Source organism: Homo sapiens, chromosome 21 (assembly GCF_000001405.40).
Source record: "Homo sapiens chromosome 21, GRCh38.p14 Primary Assembly".
NCBI classification, from domain to species: domain Eukaryota; kingdom Metazoa; phylum Chordata; class Mammalia; order Primates; family Hominidae; genus Homo; species Homo sapiens.
Window position 1 is genome coordinate 21,745,077 of NC_000021.9, and position 21,241 is coordinate 21,766,317.

Genomic DNA, 21,241 nt, shown 5'->3' on the forward strand with positions numbered 1-21,241 from the left:
AACTGTAAGTCCAGTTAAAACTCTTTTCCTTCCCAGTCTTGGATATGTCTTTATCAGCAGTGTGAAGATGGACTAATACCGTAAACTGGAACCAGTAGAGTGGGGCATTGATGAAAAGATACCCAAAAATGTGGAAGTGACTTTGGAACTAGGTAACAGGCAGGAATTGGAGTAGCTTGAAGGGCTCAGAAGAAGACAGGAAAATGTGGGAAAGTTTGGAATTTCCTAGAGACTTGTTGAATGGCTTCACCCAAAATGCTGAAAGTGATATGGACAATAAAATCCAGGCTGAGATGATCTCAGATGAAGATGAGGAACTTGGGAACTGGAGCAAAGAGAGTGGTGACATTTTGCCCCTTCCCTAGAGACTTGTGGAATTTTGAACTTGAGAGAGATGATTTAGGGTATGTGGTGGAAGAAATTTCTAAGTAGCAAAGCATTCAAGAGGTGACTTGGGTGCTGTTAAAGGCATTCAGTTTAAAAAGGAAAGCAGAGCATGAAAGTTTGGAAAATTTGCAGCCTGACTATGTGATAGAAAAGAAGAAACCCATTTTCGGGGGAGAAATTCAAGCCAACTGCAGAAATGTTCATAGGTAGCAAGAAGCCTAATGTTAATCTCCATGACCTTGGAGAAAATGTCCCCAAGACCACAGGGAAAATGTTCTCCATGTCAGAGACCTTCGCAGCAGCCCCTCCCATCACTAGCCCTGAGGCCCAGGAGAAAAAAGCAGTTTTGTGGGCCGGGCCCAGGGTCCTCGTGCTATGTGCAGCCTAGGAACTTGGTGCCCTAGGAACTTGTGTTCCAGGAACTTGGAACACAGCCTAGGAACTTGTGTCCCAGTTGTTCCAGCCATAGCTGTAAGGGACCAACATACAGCTCATGCTGTGGCTTCAGACAGTGGAAGCCCCAAGCCTTGGCAGCTTCCACGTGGTGTTGAGCCTGTGGGTGCACAGAAGTCAAGAATTGAGGTTTGGGAACCTCCCCCTAGACTTCAGAAGATGTATGGAAACACCTGGATGTGCAGGCAAATTTTGCTTCAGGGGCAGGGCTGTCATGAAGAACCTCTGCTAGGGCAGTGCAGAAGGGAAATGTGGGGTTGGAGCCCCCACACGGAGTCCCTACTGGGGCACTGCCTAGTGGAGCTGTGAGAAGAGGGCCATCATCCTCCAGAGCCCATAATGGTAGATCCACTGATAGCTTGCTTCAGGTGCCTGGGAAAGCCACAGACACTCAACACCACCACATGAAAGCAGTCAGGAGGGAGGCTGTACCTTTCAAAGCCACAGAGGCTGAGCTGCCCAAGACCATGGGAACCCACCTCTTGCATCAGCGTGACCTGGATTTGAGACATGGAGTCAAAGGAGATCATTTTGGAACTTTAAAATTTGACTGCCCTGCTGGATTTTGGACTTCCATGGGCCCGTAAACACTTTGTTTTGACCAATTTCTACCATTTGGAATGGCTGTATTTACTCAATACCTGTACCCCCATTGTATCTAGGAGGTAACTAGCTTGCTTTTGATTTTACAGGCTCATAAGCAGAAGGGACTTGCCTTGTCTCAGGTGAAACTCTGGACTGTGGACTTTTGGGTTTATGCTAAAATGAGTTAAGACTTTGCGGGACTGTTGGGATGGCATGATTGGTTTTCAAATGTGAGAACATGAGATTTGGAGGGGCCTGGGTGGAACAATATGGTTTGGCTGTGTCCCTACTGAAATCTCAAATTGAATTGTGTCTCCCAGAATTACCATGTGTTGTGGGAGGGACCCAGGGTAAGTAATTGAATCATGGGGGCTGGTCTTCCCTGTGCTATTCTCGTGATAGTGAATAAGTCTCACGAGATCTAATGGGTTTATCAGTGGTTTCCACTTTTACTTCTTCCTCATTTTCTCTTGCCACCACCATGTAAGAAGTGCCTTTCATATCCTGCCATGATTCTGAGGCCTCCCCAGACATGTGGAACTGTAAGTCCAATTAAAACTCTTTTCCTGGCCGGGTGCAGTGGCTCATGTCTGTAATCCCAGCACTTTGGGAGGCCGAGGTGGGCAGATGAGTTGAGGTCAGCAGTTTCAAGACAAGCCTGGCCAACATGGCGAAAACCCATCTCTACTTAAAATACAAATATGGGCCGGGTATGGTGGCTCACACCTGTATTCCCAGCACTTTAGGAGGCCGAGGTGGGCGGATCACAAGGTCAGGAGTCGAGACCAGCCTGGCCAACATGGCGAAACCCCGTCTCTACTAAAAATACAAAAATTAGCTGGGCGTGGAGGCGTGTGTCTGTAATCCCAGCTACTCGGGAGGCTGAGGGAGGAGAAATGCTTGAACCCAGGAGGCAGAGGTTGCAGTGAGCCGAGATCATGCCATTGCACTCCAGCCTGGGTGACAAGAGCAAGAATCCATCTCAAAATAAGTAAATAAATAAATAAATAAATAAAAATAAAATACAAATACAAATATTAGCTGGGTGTGTTGGTGCGTGCCTGTAATCCCAGCTACCTGGGAGCCTGAGGCAGGAGAATCGCTGGAGGCGGAGGTTGCAATGAGCCAAGATCTTGCCACTGCACTCCAGTCTGGGCAACAGAGTGAGACTCTGGTCTCAAAAACAAACAAACAAACAAACAGACAAAAAAACCCTTTTACTTCCCAGTCTCAGGTATGTCTTTATCAGCAGTGTGAAATGGACTAATACACCTCCATTCCTTATTTTAAAAAGATGAATTTATCTCCTACCTCGCTGAAGTCCTTGAGCTTAAAATGTTTTAGATCCCTACCCTGTATTTCCTAATAAACCTTTCCTTATCCTAGTTCACTCCTGATCTCTCATATCAAGATGGGGATCTCTGCTCTCATCACATATGTCTCAGGGAAGACAATCCATTCAGCATCTTCTCCTCTACCTCTGTGCTTAAATTTCTATTAAATTAATAGAAATTCATTAATTTAAATTTCTGTATTACTTCCTGTATTCCTGCCTCTAAATATGTTCTAGTTTGTCTTATCCTGAAAGTTTTCTTCTTTAGATCCTTAAATTTATCTGTTTCTTTTCTTTCTCTGAAAACATTTTGAAATGTAGACATATCTTGCTTTCACTGGGTCATTATCTACTCACTTTTCAAACTCTTTTTTTTTTTTTTTTTTTTGTGAGATAGAGTCTCGCCCTGTCTCCCAGGCTAGAGTGCAATGGCGCGCTCTCTGCTTACTGCAAACTCCGCCTCCCGGGTTCCTGCCATTCTCCTGTCTCAGCCTCCCAAGTAACTGGGACTACAGACGCCCGCCACCGCGCCTGGCTAATTTTTTTGTATTTTTTAGTAGAGACGGGGTTTCACCGTGTTAGCCAGGATGGTCTCGATCTTTTGACCTCGTGACCCGCCCGCCTCAGCCTCTCAGAGTGCTGGGATTACAGGAGTGAGCCACCGCGCCTGACCATTACCCATGCTCTTAATCATGATTTGTGTTTCCTCTTGGCCAAATCCTGTGTTGGCCTATCTCACTTATAATAAGACGGGGACTGCTGTCCTCCAGAAAATGTTAACTAAAAGTACTGAATTCTTCATGGCATATGCTGAATACATGGGCTGATCATAGATACAATTCACATAAAGGTGAGCTACGGGACACTGTGGACTGGGCTGGCTAGAGAAAGCTTGCAAAAAGAGTGGGAACTGATAACGCTTGGGATTAGGAGTAAAAGTCATAAAGTAAGGGTGAGGGAAAGGATACGGGGTGGGGGGGGCATTCCATTTGAGAACTTCAGAAAAGAGGTGACAAGGTAGGAATATAAAAGGAATATTTAGAGGTCAGCCTTGGAGGAGATAATGATTTTTATGCCTAGGAATAGTGGAAAATAAGTTTGGGAATGTAGTTGGGGCATAGATTTGGAAAAGTGCGAGAGTACACATTTGAATATGATATTGTAGAAAACTGAAGACGGTTAAAAGGAGTGATGGCAAACAAGCAGGAATTTAGAAAAGTTAATGAGATGGGTTTTATTTATGCTTTTTGGGTAGGTCTACAGGGAGAGTCTAATGCTTGGGAATCGTTAAAGTGGTCATTACAACAGTCTAAATGTGGTGTTGGAAGCAGATATTTACCAGCAATATAGATGCTTTAGAAGAGAGTTCACAGTTCTTGAGAAGCTACTGAAATTTGTGTCAAGGTAAAGTGAGGTTTTAAAAACAGCTTCTGGAATTAACCTAAATGAATGGAAGAATATGAGTCCTACTGAAAGAAATGGGATTCTCTCTATATATTATAAAAATTTGACTGATGACTACAGTAGAAATTGTGCATCAGTTGAAGAAAGAAATAGCTAATGCTCATAGTAAGAACAGCAGCCAGTGGCTTTGCATATTTATCACCAGAGCTTCTGAAAATTATTTTTATTTTTCATTTCTTTTTTCTCCTTCTCCTTTCATCTCTTTCTTCTACTTTCCTTCCCTTCCCTCCTTTCTTTAATTTCCACTTTTCCTTCTTCTCTCCCTTTCTCCCTTCCTCAGTATTTTTAATTTGTGTTTAAAATAAATATTTATTAAGCATTTATTCTGGGACTGTAGTTTTTCTATTTTATCTCTGGGTCAGTAACAAGCCTTGTAAATTAATTCAACACTGGGACTGGGTATTTGAGCTTTGGATCATGAAGTCAGCCTGTTCAGTCTGATAAACTACCACTTCGTTTACATAGATAATGAAAATATCAAGTCCATTATTAAGATAAATTAGAAATGAATGTATGAATTATTGGGTGCAATAAATAAATCTGCATATTAAAGAAATCTATGGACCAAAATGTATTACAATCATATATCAAAAATAAAGCTTGTGTACATGGGTGCATGTGCATGTGGTTTTATCTTGTGACTGTGTGGGGACACAAAACCAATTATTGTCTTTTGAATCAATTTTCCCTGACAGTTTAGATTTAAGCTTGATGACATTTTGAACCTATTTCAGCCCATTTGGAATAAATTTATCAATTTCAACTCACATCTTCTTGATAAAACCAAATTTGTATCCCTATTTCTCCACTAATGCATGGACCATTATTGATGTTCCTTCTCTCCACTTTGCAGGATCTTAAAGTTTTTCCTTTTATGCTTCTTAAGATTTGATTACTAGCATTGTGAATACTGTATGTTTCTCCTCATCTTTCTCCAGGGTAAAGATCTGAACGTCTTTGTCAGTTCATACAAACTTTGAATATTGTTGCCAAGCACATGATAGATATCAGAACTGGGTGTATTTCATGATCAGGTGAATTGAATTAGCTTATCAGATGAATGGTTACTTAATTTGTTTTGTGAAGGAAAGCTAACTGGGTTAGGTGACTTCCAACCAAAGGTGAATTTAAGGACACATGATTCAAGCCTTGAAATATTACAGAAAGTATGCCATGTTTAGAAATAAAACTGAATGATTTTTATTATAAATACTAATATCATTTTTATGTTCTCTGTAGTTCACTTCCTGCCTTGCCAACGCCTTTAGGCTATTTTGCGTTCCCCATATGTGGGAATGGATATTTTTAGCATTAAGCAGAAAAGAGTCACAGATAACAGTGTTTTCCAAGTCCCAGGGTGAGAAAGAAGCCAGGGATGATGCCCTTGGCCTTTCAATTGGCTTGAAAGTAGCAGCAAGAGCAGCAGAATCTGAATGAAGTCAGTAGACAGGAAAGGAGAATGCTTTAATGACAACCTGAAAGAATGAGTGACTGAAGACCAAATGGGATCAATAAAATCTCGGAAGATACTCAGATGAACAGATTACTTCAGGGCTAGGAGATTCCAACAACATCTCAGTACTAAGTAAGCACCCCAGTTTGAGTGAGTTCGGGTTGAAATGCATATCAAATTTCAAAAGAAAACAATAGGCTCATAAGGGTTGTATACCTTATTGCCATATTCTAACTGGGCTTTGACAGTGAAATATTGAGTTACCACTTTTTAAAATGACCTGACATTGCAGTGTCTATAGTTTTTATTCAAATGACCTAATTTCCTTTTTATTCATTTACTAAGCATTTCTTATTTTCCCTTCTTTTGCAGTGTAGGTTATGTTAGTCGTAATATTTACTATAAAAATTGTATTATCTGGTAATGGTAATAGTAGTAATAGTAGATAATAGGGGTAATAGCAATTATAGAAATAGCAGCAATAGTGCCAAAGGTGGCAGAAAAACACCTAAAAATTTTGAACAGCCATTAGGCGAAGCACTTTCTCTATCAACTGTGCTAAGCATTTTCTATAGAGTAACTCATTTAATATTCTCAGCAACTCTTGAGGTAGGTGAGATTTTACCCTGTTATATAAATGAGAAACCTTAGGTTCAAAAAAATTAAGCCACTTCCTCACGTTATTCAGATGATGAGTGTGAGCTATAATTCCCATGGAGAGCTTGCTCTCCCAGGCCCCCTAGTAGACAGCATGATATGAAGGAGAAAAATTAGGCAGGCAGCAAATGTTAGCTCTTTCCCTGACTGTTACAGTGGCTTTTGAACTTTGGCAGGTCACCAGTATCTGAAGAACTTCTTGAAATGTGGATTGCTGGGCTTTTCCCCCAGGTTTCTGATTAATTAAGACTGGAAGAAGGCCCCAAATGAACATTTCTAGCAAGTTCCCAGGTGACACTGCTGCATCTTGTCCAAGGCTCACACTTTGAGAACCTCTGTTATAGGTTTAGATACGTGAACAAAACCCATGAAGGTAAAGTGGTCTTATTGAAGGAAGTGTCGGCACTATTTATACTTGGATAAGGGCATGTGATCATCTAATTTGATCATATCTATTCACACAGTTACGACCACTTCTGTATACATAAATATAATATAAAGATGAAATATATGGTGCTTGTTGTTAAGAACCTTAAAATCTGGAGAATGAAGGCAAATCTATAAGCAAATAAGGCACCAAAGCTTATACATGTTTTGCAAAAAGGCAAAAATGTATATATGGCATAAAAACAAAGTATAAATTTTCTACTTGAATTGGAGTATGCAGTGGGGAGTAAGATAGAAAAGTTAGATAGAGAATTTGATGTCTTAGCTAAATGCTGAAAACCAAGAAGATTTGCACTAATCACTAATCACATAGAACAAGGGCTTAGGATAAAGTGTGGGATGGAGGGAGAATGATGTTATAGATAGTGAAGAATGTGAAAGCACCAGATTAACATAGTCATGTATTTAACTAAAGCATTTGAACTTCATGCTGTACACAATAGTGAACCTTCAAATGTTTTTTAATGAGTGTAAATTATTATCCACTTTGTAACTTATACAGCATGGTCTGACAAGTTTGAAGAGTTTACTGTCCAAGAGGCAGATCAAGATCAGGATGATTAATTTTACTAACGAATTAGTCCTAAGGAAAGATGAGTTCCCACACAAGGAAGTGGTAATGTATACATAACAAGGACTGAATTTGACAGCTGATTAAGAAATGAGATTGACAGGATTCTTAAAAGTGTCTCTCACTGGTGTTGATAGGTACTAAATAAAAAATGAATCAGGTTCTAGCTGAAAATTATATAGTCCAGTGGTTCTCAAACTTCAGCATATTAGAATTATATGGGCACTTAAAGCATACTAATATACAGGCCACACCACTTTCAATCTACTCAGAATCTTTGGAATCATTAGTAATTCCCAAGTGATTCAAATAATAATGGTGCTATTTAATAAATAGAGAACAGATCTGTAATATGGATCAGACTTGTAAAGAATGCAGAGAGAGGAAGAGTTGGAAGATATAGGAGAGGAAATGAGATAACTGAAAAACAAATTGCCTGGAGACAATAGAAGAATAGAGAATGAAAAACACAGGTCGAAATACTAAACCTCAAATTCGAGAAGGTATGCTTCAGTTTCTGAGATTAAAGGAAAGTAGGTAATGCTCAAGCACTTAGAAAAAAACTAATAGGAAACTTTAATTTCATGTATTTGGAGTCTAGTCTTGAAAGTCACCTCCGATGCTAGAGCACAACCCAAATTTTGTATTTTCCCTTATAAACTTAATAGGTGATACAAATATGTGTTAGAAATCAGTCTAGGATACTTTGACATATGTCAGTGACTGAGGAACGGGCATGCAAGGAATGTTTAAAGAAATATTTAATTTTTTGAAAGAAGCTATAAGCATAGCAGTTTATGTAAAAAAGAAAATTCCAATAAAATATACAAGCCCAAAGTATACTATATCCATGGGTTTCTTTCTGCTTGTGGGTTGTATTTTGTAATCACTACCCAAAAGCATTGTTTTCAAGCCTATTTTTTTATCAAGAAAAGTTTGTCCAAAAAGAATTACATAAAAATTTAAAATAACAAATAAAAAACCAACTAGAATGGCTCTAGCCCAAGCTATGAAAGGAAGTCATTGCTCCTACCTGCCCATATCTCCACTACAGATTGATGGTCAGTGACTGAGAGTATATCAAGTTTTTTTCTGAGAAATCAATTGAATAAAACTTGGGATTGAATGAAACCTGTCTTTTTTAACAAAATGCAGGACAAGCATAAAATTTACAGCTATTCTTTTTAATATGGTAGCTACTAACTACATGTGGTTATTAGGTCTTTGCAATATAGATAGTTAAAAAGATAGTCTGCACATTTGATTTTATACACATAGTAAAACAGAAGGATAAAATGCATTAATAATATTTACTGTATTGATTACATATTGAAGTAACACTATTTTGAATATATTAGATTAAATGTAATATATTGTTAAAACTAAGTTCATCTCTGTCTTTTCTACCCTTTAAATGCAGCTGCCAGAAATTTAAAATTAAATATGCATCTCACATTTTGTCTTTATTAGACAGTGCTAATCTCTAAGCATTTGGGCTTTAGGGAACATCAATGAATATTAAGTTGGAACTTAATTTAGCTTATGGAGGATGGTCCCAATTAGCTGTTTTCAAACTCTTTATATATTTTTAGGATTGAATCAAAAGTTTATTTAGAGAAGGAAATGTTTTAAAGTTATTGCTGCTATAGAATACTTTAAAAATTATAAATTACCAATACAAAAGGTACATTATATTTTTCTTTCATCTCTATTTTTCTTCAGTAGCTTTTGTGATTTTTAATAAAGTCTTGCCTCTCCATATGTATATAATTTCAAATATATTTTTCTTTATCCCTTTTTATCCTCAGAATAACTCTGTGATAGGAAATAAATTATCTTCACTTTAGCTTTACCTTTCCTTTACTAATCTGCCTATATGCAGGGAGCAGAGCATCTTACAGCAACATTTCTTCATTATAATTTAGACATTCATTCAATAATCAGTCAAGAGATTTGTCTTATTTTTGCATAATTGATATAATTTTGAAAGGCTGACTGTCCTCAATATTGTTCTTTTGGAGCCCAACATGCTACTTATTCATCTATGGGAATTCACCGTGACAGGCAATGCAGCCATTGAACTTTGGATAGTACATCTGTGCCTATTAGAGATAATGCCATTGAAAAGCTCCTCTTTAGAAACACTGAAGACAAGAATGCACCCCAAACTACGCTGGGGAAAAAGATGGTATTACGAAGTCAAAAATTTCTAACTTTCTTAAATAATGCCCCACATCTTCAAAAAGCTTGGCTACAGCCCTGAATTGAGGTCTTCTTCAATGAAACAATCTAGAAGTTCTAGCTGTGTACTAAGGTCACCACTGAACCAAGTGAGCTGTGCTCACAATTGCCTGCTGGTGGAAACGATCAGTGGTGTGAGCCAATACTTGCATGTGCTAGATGACCTTATTTGAACAGTGCGTTTTTAACTTCATAGACGTGTCTCCATAGCATAATTACTTTGAAAACCTCTGTATCAGTTTTCTAATGCTGCTGTTATAAATTACCACCGACTCGCTGGCAGAAAACAATACAAATGAATTATCTTGCATTTCAATGAGTTAGAAGTCTGACATAGGCCTCACTGGGCTAAAATCAAAGTGTCAGTACCTACTGCACTGTGTTCTGGAGACTCTGAGGGACAATCTATTTTCTTGCTTTTTCTGGTTTCTAAAAACCATTCGCATTCCTTAGCTCATGGCCAGCTTCCATCATCCTCAAAACCAGTGCCTTTGCATTTGTCGACTCTTCCTCTGATTACAAATGGGAAAGGATTCCCACTTTTAAAGAGTGTGTGTGTGTGTGTGTGTGTGTATGACTGTATGTGTATGAGTGTGATTAGATCAGACTCAAGATAATTTCCATATCTCAAGGGCCTTTGCTTATTTTTACAAAACCTTTTTTTTCTGTATTGGATAATATATTAATATCAACAAGATCTAGTGATTAGAATGGAGACATCTTTTTAAAGGGGATTGCATTACACTGCCTACAGCCTCCTCTACTGCTCTGAGTATTTTGATAGGAACTATATCTCTCACTAGCAGGGATCCTTTTTCCTTTCATTTTATATAGATATTCTGTCAAAAAAAATGTCTCAGCCCATAGGACAATAAAATACCTATTTAAAAGCCATTTATCTTATAATGGCACCCTTAAGTCATCTGAATATCCATTGAAACCAAGATTGAGCTTAGTATAAATAACATAGGTATATAAGGAAAGTTGGTTAAAAGTAAAATTGTGTGGGTTTTTTTTTTTGTTTGTTTTGTTTTGTTTTTTGTTTGTTTCTGAGGCGGAGTCTCCTCTGTTGCCCAGGCTGGAATGCAGTGGCACGATTTGGGTTCACTGCAACCTCTGCCTCCTAGGTTCAAGCAATTCTGCCTCAGCCTCCCGACTAGCTGGGATGACAAGCACATGTCACCACGCCTGGCTAATTTTTTTTTTGTTTTTAGTAAAGATGGGATTTCATCGTGTTACCCAGGATGGTCTCCATCCCCTGACCTCTTTATCCGCCTGCCTCGGCCTCCCAAAGTGCTGGGATTACAGGCGTGAGCCACCACACACATCTTTAACACACATGTTATACATATGATATTTCATTGTCAAAAGCAATTTTCTAAAATTCCAAAAGATTTATCTTATTTGAGGTTCAAAATAATGGGATTAGGACATTCTTTACGTCTCCTATTGGATGGACCATTTTTAGGGCAGAGTAAATATTAAGCCATCATCAATTAAAACTTACTCACTGTATGAGTTAGGGTAATCCAGAGAACCAATAGCTCTATCAATTTATCATCTATCTCATCATCTATCTAGAAATATATTTTAAGAATTGACTCTAGCAATGTGGGGGCTAGTAAATTTGAAATTTGTAGCCAGCAACCTGGAAATTCAGGTAAAGGTTGGTTTTGCCATCTTAAATCTGAAATAGTCTGCATATGAGTCAAGAGGCTGGAAACTCAGGCATGGTTTCTATGTTGCCGTCTGGAGAAGAAATTACTTCTTCTCTGAGATTCTTCCATCTTGTCTTTTCATGCATTCAATACATTGAACGAGGCCCACTCTCCTTTTGGAGGGTAATCTGGTTTTCCTTTAATTCCTCTGATTGAAAATTTTAAAAACACACACAAATATCTTCACAGCAATATCTAGAAGGATGTATGACCAAACAACTGGGCATCATAGCCTAGTGAAGCTGACAGATAAAATTAACTGTCACATTTTCAGAAAGTATCATGGAATTAAAGCTTCCTCTGAAGAACTCATTATTTTTGTGAAAACCTTTTACAATCAAATACTATCTTACAAGCTATTGATTCAATAATTATCTATTAAGGGCTTACTACACTGTGTGTGTATGTGTGTGTATATGCACTAAATGTATCTCTTCAGTTTTTACTGCATGCTAGTTGCTGCATTTGGTCATATAAATATGAATGACACACTGTCCCTGACTTCAAGACAATTGTTGTTAATTATAAAGGTAAATGCATATAAAAAATCACAGTACAACATTCTTGGTGTTAAGAAGACTGGGAATGCACTGGCAGGGCTGCAGCATGAATGGAGTGCAACTAACACATCCTTGGGGAGTCATATTTGAAGGAACTGAAGAAACTGCAAATGAACAAAATAGGAAGTGGCAAAATAGGCAGATCATAGATCAAATAGCATCACATTCTATTGCCGGTTTATATAACTGAGTATTTTGGTATATCATGAAAGCAGGGCGGGATGTTAGGAACATAAGTGGAGTCGTATTGTGAAGAGCCTCGGATGTCAGACCACATTTTTCTTACAGGAATGAGAGGACATTAAGGTAGTAGCTGTTAACCAGTGAAAGACCCAGATTTGCCTTTGCAGTTCTTGAAAAGGCCATTTCCTTTGCAGAAAGAGACTCAATTCTTGCTCTTTCTCTGTCTTTGTGCTGCTATAACAAAATATCTGAGACTGGGCAACAGATAATGTAAATATGTAAATAAGTGGATATAGAAATGTTATAAATTTATTTCTTGTAGTTCTGAAGGCTGGAAAGTCTAAGATCCAGTCACTAGCTGGTCTGGTGTCTGGTGAGGGCTGCTCTCAGCTTTCTGGGATAGTACCTTGCTGTTGTGTCCTCTGAAAAGGACAAACACAGTGTCCTCACATGGCAAAGGCAGAAGGGCAAAAAAACCCCCAAAAATCCTAGAACGCAAAAAAAAAAAAAGAAAAAAAGAAAAAGCCGAATGCTGTTTGAAGCCTCTTTTATATAGGCCTTAATCCCATTCATGAGAGTTTCACCCTCATTGACTTAAACATGTCTCAAAAGCCCCATCTTTTAATACCATCACAGTGGGAATTAAGTTTCAACACATAAATTTTGGAGAACACGTTCAGACCATGGCACTCCCCACACACGGTGTGTGAAAAAGAGAACATGAACATTCGCATTCAGCAATTCCAAATATTAAGGGTTGAGTCTAATTTTTAATTACTATTGTAACTTTTTAGTAACTTACAAAGACACTTCTGATTTATAGTACTGCCAAGAATGACAACATTTAGGGCTGTAAATCACGAGAGAAGAATAACTCCTTTTCTTTGTCTAGTCTCATGCTAATTCTAATGGATCCAGGGCACAAAATATAGAAATGAAATAATTTCCTCATTAAATATGTCTCCATAAAATGTGAAATGCATAGTAAAGATGAAAGTTTTCTTTTTTTCATCGTGACTGGTTTCATAAGGTTCAACTTTACTGAAATGTTCTACTTTGGCTATAGGCACGTTAATGTATGAGTGTATTAATTTCTATGCTTCATAACAAATTATCATACACTTAGTGCCTTAAAACAACACACATTTTGTATTTCAGTTTCTGTATGTCGGAAACCCAACTATAGCTTAATTGGACCTCACCAGGCTGCAATCCAGGCATTGGTCGTGGCTTTAGTCTCATCAGAGGCTCTGCTGGGATCAGAGTCACCTTCAAGCTCTCTCTGGTTGTTGGCAGGATCAATCTTCCTGGATTTGTAGGACTGTGATTCCCATTTCCTTGACGGCCATAGCCTGCAGGCCTCTCTTGTCTCCTTTAAGTGCCTGAAGTTTTTATTTTTTTTATTTGCCACATTAGCCACTTTATAGATCCTCTCACAAATGGAAGCATACTTTCAAATCCAGCAAAGGTGAATTTTCACGTTCAGTCTGCTAGAATGAAGTCTTACATAATGTAACCACGGGAACCATGGCATAGGCGTTCCATCAACTTTGCCATATTATGTAAGCAAACCATAGGCATGACACGCCATTACTGTTGCCATGTTTGCCATATGCTAATGGTTAGAAACAAGTCACAGTTGCCACCTCCAGCCAAGGGACAGGGGTGGCAGGGAGAACACACAGAGGTGTGATATACCATGAGGAGGGAATTACTCGGGATCCTCTTGGGGAGGTCTGCCACAGTGAAACATAAAAACAGGTCATGTTGGTTATGTTGAAATATTTTGGAACCTCCATTCTTGAAGTATTCTGGATCAATATCTAACAGTTTTTTCTAGAATGCATTAATTGAGAAATATTTTTTTTAAATGTCCCAAACAATACATTCATCAAACTGCTAGGAAAAAAAAATGAGATTATACAACATTTTATTAAAAAGAAACTTAAACTTAACAAGGATTAGTAATCCGGGGGAATTCCAACAGCAAACAACACAGATAACTCTTTTCCTTTCATAGTCATATTTACATTATTTTATTTCGAACTAGATATTTTCCTTAATATATGTACAGCTTGGTTGCTTGGCTTGATTTTACATATATATGTATTCATGTATATGTGAATGTGTGCATAACTTTAAATATATATTTTTCAATATCTGAAAGCACTGAAATGGGAACTTTACTGTTATGGTGAATAGATATTTCTATGTTGAAATTTTGACTATCACAAATTTGCATTAAGAATATGTAAATCCAAAACAAGCTATATAATGATCTCAAACATTGCTTTTTTGCTACATTAAGTTTAATGGCTCAATCTCAAGCTCTCTGTAGGAGGGCAAGTATTTCCACCTCTGCAAGGCTTTGCAGAAAAGAAAATTTTGGTAGAATGGCCACACTCATATGCATACCTGGCAGCCAAGGGTACATGTGCTATATTCCCTATAACATAATGTGTCACTTCATAGTGAGAAAATGTCCACAGAAGAAGATGACCAATGCCCTACCAGGCTTCAAGACAGACAATGATTATGACTAGAATGAGATGATCCTGGAGCTTGTCAGTGGAACCTATGCATCAGTAGAAATGCTGTCTTGTTAACTATTAGATCTGCAAAACTATAACCAACAAGCTAAAGCTGTTCATGTTCTCCTGTAGAAATGCATCTTTTATGCTGTATTTACAATTATTATGCTGTGAGTCAGGATTTCCGTCTCACATCCATCACCCAATTGTGTAAATCCTGATTTGGGACAGAATTCCAATATTTATATGAAACATGAAAATGTGGATCATTTCTCTGTTGTTATGATATTTATCCAATGGCTCTGTTTTGTTCCACTTAGGGAAGCCTATTTAATTAAAAAAATACGTGCTGATTTGTGCATGATTTTGTCAGGAAGTTATTTGTTGTTATGGCTTTGTATTTTTGCTGTTATGTATGTACTCTCTCGGTACCTGGCTACACAAAATTAATGCTCCTAACTTATCCAGATCACTGTGTCTTGGTAAGCTTCTCCCATCCTGTTTCTCTTACTCTTCTGTGCCCATCTTCATATATGAACTAAAACAATCCTCTAATTTGCTTAATGTCTTTAAAGTGGAGTATGTACCTGAATCAAACAGAATATTTGCAAAACTTGTCACTCATATTTTGAGTTTCTACTTTAGTGTCTTAGTGCTTTCTCGATATGGGAGAATTCATGTCCTCCATTCAGAAGTATGCACTAAGTAAGAGGTATCATGTCTGGTTCTTGATTAGGTACTAATCTTGAAATACTATCCTACAGTAGGTTAGAGCACGTATATCTCCTGATAATATATTGAATATGATAGATTTAAATAATTGGTTAACTAAATACTAAAGCAAATTGCTGCACGTATCATTTATTATTCATTGTGTAGAAAGTGCCTGACTCAGTGTTTGGAAATTGTCTGACTTTTCCTCATATATAGTGTGGTTTCATGTTATTGTATATAAGACCTGACATGAACCCTGTTTACAATAATCTCCCAGTGCCATAAAGACCATAATAAATAATATAACCAATTGGTTTCTTTATGCTGTCATTTATTAGGGCATATGGCATTAGTGGAGGATTACCTTGTATTACCCATAGTGCTTAGAGTATGAATCACACATGCACCTTGAAGGAAAAGAGGTGCAATGTAATAAGAAACCAGATATTGAAAATGCAAGTTTTGTTATGTTATTCTGGGTATGTTAACCTTTATTCCTGCCCTCCATATGCACTGTAGCAAAGTCTGCCTATTCATGCTTCATCCCACCACTTCACAGCTATTGCTCCATCTGCCTTAGTGATTAAGCTTTATACTACATGAACTAGACTTCCCCTCCATGATCACACCAAAGCATTCAATTCAATTCACGGGTACTTACAGTCTACAGAATGGGCTTTGAAAGAGGATAATACCTAAGCACCTCTTGTTTCATAAAAATTTGAATTCAGGCTATGTAACTATAGTATAGTATAGACGTTTCTGGAAGATGATTAGTTGTATTAGAATAGAGAAGCTACTATCAATCATGTTTCCCTGAAGTTGGAAGAGCACATTACTCCCTTTTAGTGTCTGAGTTACATTACATATGTTGAGGACTGTTATAAGTAAGTTGGAGTTAGTTGACTGGGACTCTGCTAAGCAAGAGAATCTTAACAGGTATAGTTATTTGAGTAAACAGGGATGGGAATAGTTTTTAATAACGTAGAATATGAGTTTTCTTTGTATAAAGGTAAAATGCTGAAATATTTCATGCCTGATGGTCATTACACTGTATGTGATTTATACCAGGAATAAGCTGAGCCTCTTCCCACCATGCCATTTCATATCAGCCATAAATGAGGAAACAAATGAGAAAGTTATTATTTGCCGTGTGATTAAGTAGTCAGTCAAATCCATTCTGTCTAACAAGCGATTGATTGCTTTAGAATGGGAGCCAGAATTTATAAGGGTGGGGTGATATACTTTGGAGTGTGGGGTATGTAATCAAAATTTTTGTGGTGTATTGCATTTTTCAGTGAAGATCACAACAGTATCTCCATTCCATAAGTTCTTTCTACAGTGCATCCTGTGATAGGGTCTTTGCCCTCTCCCTTTGAAACTCACTGGCTTTTTGTGACTGCTTCAATATATTACATAAAAATGCCATCATCATCCACTGTGATCTTTTGAGATGTTTGCTGTAGAAAAAGAGCCACCACGCTGTGAGAATGTTCAAACAGGCAAAGCAGTGAGACTCCGTGGAAAGGATGTATGCATGAATTTTGACTGACAGTATAGCTGAGATCCCAACTGATAGCTAGTACCAAATCACCACCTATGTGAGTCAACCATTTTGGTAGTATGTTCTCCAGTTCTGAGATCAATTGCTTTAAACTGACCTCTTGAATCAAAGGCAAGCTCCCTACTAAACCCTTCATAAGCCCTGCCCGAGGAATAGATACAGAAACAAAATAATTGTTGTTCTTTCAGGTCAGTAAGTTTTCTGATTTTCTTTTAGCACACAGCAATGAATCATACAATCAGCGACTAATATATTGTGCTTTCTGTGATCTTTTAAAAAATTTTTTATAAATGGAATTTACTAGAATAATACCCTTGAAATGAGTCTTTAAATGTTAACAGTTGTCCAATGGTGGAAGGAGACATTCAAGGGGGGAAAAAGGAATAGATTATGAAACATTTATTTTTGGAGGTTGCAATTATTTAAGAATAGCTAAAGCTGGAAGTCCTAAATAGGACACAGTAAAAGATGACATTGGTGGTAGAAGCAGAAACCTTATGATGGAGGTTATCTATCTATCTATCTATCTATCTATCTATCTATCTATCTATCCCCTTTCTACTAAGGTTAGATTTGATTTTGAAGGTAATACAAAATCATAAAGGACTTTCTGCAGAGCAAGAGATAGTTGGATTTGCATTTTAGGAATATTTCTAGAGACAGTGATGAAATATCATCACCAAGTATATATATCATACATACTCTAACCGAACCCGAACCCGAACCCTAACCCTATCCCTAACCCAGTTAATAGATGCCTGGTAGAGATCTGACACAAAAATATTAAAACTTATAATCAAGTGGATCTGACTATTAATTAAATGTGAAGAGTGAAGGTAATAGAGTCTGAAAAACTTCAAATGAATGACTTGCCAGGTAATAGAGCAAAGGGCCAGACTGGGAGGGGTTGAGCAATAATAAATTCAGCTTTGCCCATGTTACACCCAGTCACATTCTTCTTCTTACTTAATTTCTCAGACCAAAACCTTGGGCACATCCTTGCTTTTTCTTTCTCAGTTACAACACTCTGAAGAATATCAAGTATGATTACATTCCAAGTCAAGGATACATCTTGTCACCTTCACCAATGCATCTTAGTCTTCAAACTGTCATCAGTTGCAAACCGATAAAGCATGTGTGTGTTAATGTTCTGCCCTTTACCATGAAATCAATATTGTTGGAGCTTGTTGAATGAGAAAAGTACTAATGGAAGATGATGTCAGAAAGACAAGATTGAGCATGAGTTGGCTTTGCAGGCTATAGTAAATCATTTGGAATTTATTTTATATTTCAAAAGAAGTTACTGAAGTCCTTTCACTAGCCAAGCAAAGCATCTGATGATGTTTTTCAACAAATGCTGCTGTCTGGAGAACTGAATGTAGGATGGCAAGGATAAATATAGCTAGAAAACTCTTTCTGTAATGTAAACATGAGGCTGGTAATTCTTTTTCCTTTGTCAAATCAAACTCATTCCAATCAAGGCACCGTCCTTGTTTATTTATTTACCTAGACGGTCTTTTCCTCAGAGTTTCATGTCTTGTCAATGAGATGTAGGACATATCAAGATCAAAGAGTTCTTCTTTCAGCATATCCTTCCAAAAGTAGCTTTTCGTCTTGTCATACATTGACCGATATTTTTCCTTTGAATTTTCAAAGCACAGAGCACTCTAAGGAGTTAAATTATTTACTTAATTGTTTCTATTCCATATTTTCCCATTAGAAATGTAAGGCATCTGAGGATAGAAAATATATTTTTCTTACTGACATCATATTCCTAATGTTCAGCGTAGTACTTAGAGTGAGATTTGTATTCATCATGTTTGTAAATTAGCTAATGAAAATAAAATAAGACATAATTTAAAATTTGGGAGATATTTGCTTGGAGAGAAAAATTGAAGGAGATTTTCTAAAATGAAGATACTGCTTTAGACTTGATGAGGGGGAAATTTTTGACATCCATCATCAATTTATGGATTTACAGTAAATTAAATTATCTTTTAAAACATAGCAGAAAGTAAATCATAATCTTTAATAAAGAAGGGAAATTGAAGGAAACATGTCTCCATTGAGTATTAGGCATTCTGTGAGGTACTTAATATATTTAAACTCATGCAAATCTCCAAGAGCCATGACTTTAAAAAAAATTCAGTTATTAATAAAATATTTATGTTTAAAGCATGAAGAGTTATATTTGTTAAAATCCATGTACTTATAGAACAATGAAAAAATCATGTGTAAAACACACAACATTCGGTGTACTCAGTTTTGACAAATATTTATCTTTTTTAGCATTGAAAATAGGAATGTTATTTGCATTTGGAAAAATATTTCTCGGATATATTGGTCACTAAACAATGAAATAACATGTCATGATTGTTTTATGTTTACCTGTCTTGCAAAAAGCTAGATTTGACTAACAATAAAAATGTCCACTGTTAAAATGCCTGCAGAAACACTTTTCACATTAAATTATAACCAGATACTCACGTTCACATTGCCAGGGCATCAATAAAACAATTCCAAGTTTATAGCACAGAGGTACATTGTACCCAGTGTTGTTATTGTGACATATTGTGCTGCCTTGTGCTGTGTCATATTGTAATTCAGACATTAACATATGTGACTACCACTCTTTATGTAGAAAATACAGTGTTCTCATTTGTTCCAAAAATTGTAATATGCATATTTCAAACTACAAAATATATCTATTTTCACGGTAGTATCAATTATTTATTGAGCTTCTTCATAATATACTAGTAAGCATATTTTAAATTAAGTTGTGAAAATAATGAATAAATAAATAAAATAAAGAAAGAGCTGCAAGTTGCTGAGATTCTGGGACATGTGAATATGTTATCTCAGTAAAGCATGGCCTGTGCAGTATTACTCCAGTTCCTTTCTATTTATGTTCCTCAGACTTGATTTTTTTAAGCTTTAAAATAATTAGGTTAAATATTTTGTCAAACTTTAGAAAACACTTCTTATAGACAAATTGTTGGACAAAGAAAGGAACAATAAGAAGCTGTGGGAAGTAAAAGTAATATTTTGGGAGTCAAAATTGTCATTTCTCTGTGCTAGGATTGAAGATGTATACACATTATCGTCAGCATTCACACACTCACTCACACACACACACGCAATTTGTACCTTAAAATACTATACAAAATAAAATTGGTGCCTAGGAAGAGATATAGAGTTCAAACATAATTCTCCCATAAATACATCCCCATTACTATTTTAAATATGAACTCTCAGGAGGATTATAGTGTTGGGGAAAAATGTCAAATCAGCAGGTGAGCTGTTGAACTTTCAACTCATTATTAAATAAAACCAGTTTTGGTTTTTATGTGTTTCACACTTTGTTCATCCATAATTCCCTTTGAACTAGGGGTTGTGGGACTGTTGTGGGATGGGGGGAGGGGATAGCATTAGGAGATATACCTAATGTTAAATGACCAGTTAATGGGTGCAGCACACCAACATGGCACATGTATACATATGTAACGGAGCTGCACGTTGTGCACATGTACCCTAAAACTTAAAGTATAATAAAAAAATGAAAAAATAAAATTGAGAAAATCCAAATTATTTGTGGAATTCAACATTAACCTAAAAACCGAAAAAAAAGACAATGTAGGATATAACTGAAAGACAAAATGATAAAATCTAATAATCAATATTGTATTATCTTTTAGCATAAATTAATAATCTTGAGTAAGGTTGCTAATATATATTTCAAATGATACATTAAGATTTAACAAATAATTAAAATTTTTGGGAAGGGTTATAGGAAATTTAAATCTATTATTTCTAATTCATTGATACGTTTAATTTAAAAACCTTTAGTCTCTCTACTAATACTTCCATTTTAAGAAGGAGATGGACACTCATAGAAGTAAAATAATATACCCAATGTTACACAGTTAATTAATTGTTGGAGATATTTCAAAGCAGCTCATAAATGCTTCAGAGTCTATTCTCTTTGACTACATTACACTGCTATCAAATTTCATGAAAAATCTCAAAAACTTGTGTTACAGTAATTAATTCAGTTAAATGGATACTTTTATTTTCTCCAAAGTTCCTTCAACTTTAGAGAGACCAAAGTAATTACATAAGTGAAATATCTGGAAGAGTAAAGAATAAATAATAAAAAATGCTTCAGGAAAGGAATATTTTACTAGAGTATTTACCATGTCTTTAATTTGTAGTTATCGAACATGAAAATACATGGGAAAGACTTGGAGACCTTTCATAAGAGACCAAATATAAAAGTAATGGAAAATATAATATGTAAAGAAAAAGTAGAATTGATAATACCTTGCCTGAAAGGCCTAGACAGATTTAATAACTATCCCAGAACATGTAAATCGTTATGCT

General features: G+C 36.6%; 1 long non-coding RNA gene across 1 annotated transcript in view; it reads left to right on the forward strand.

The window, feature by feature from the left end:
• Positions 1–1,908: 1,908 nt before the first annotated feature.
• Positions 1,909–21,241, forward strand: part of LINC01425 (long intergenic non-protein coding RNA 1425) — a 50,431-nt gene continuing 31,098 nt past the window's right edge. Inside the window, exons 1-2 of the long non-coding RNA NR_109958.1 lie at positions 1,909–1,967; positions 3,319–3,608. This is a non-coding gene — a long non-coding RNA (long intergenic non-protein coding RNA 1425). The remainder of the gene's footprint in view (positions 1,968–3,318; positions 3,609–21,241) is intronic.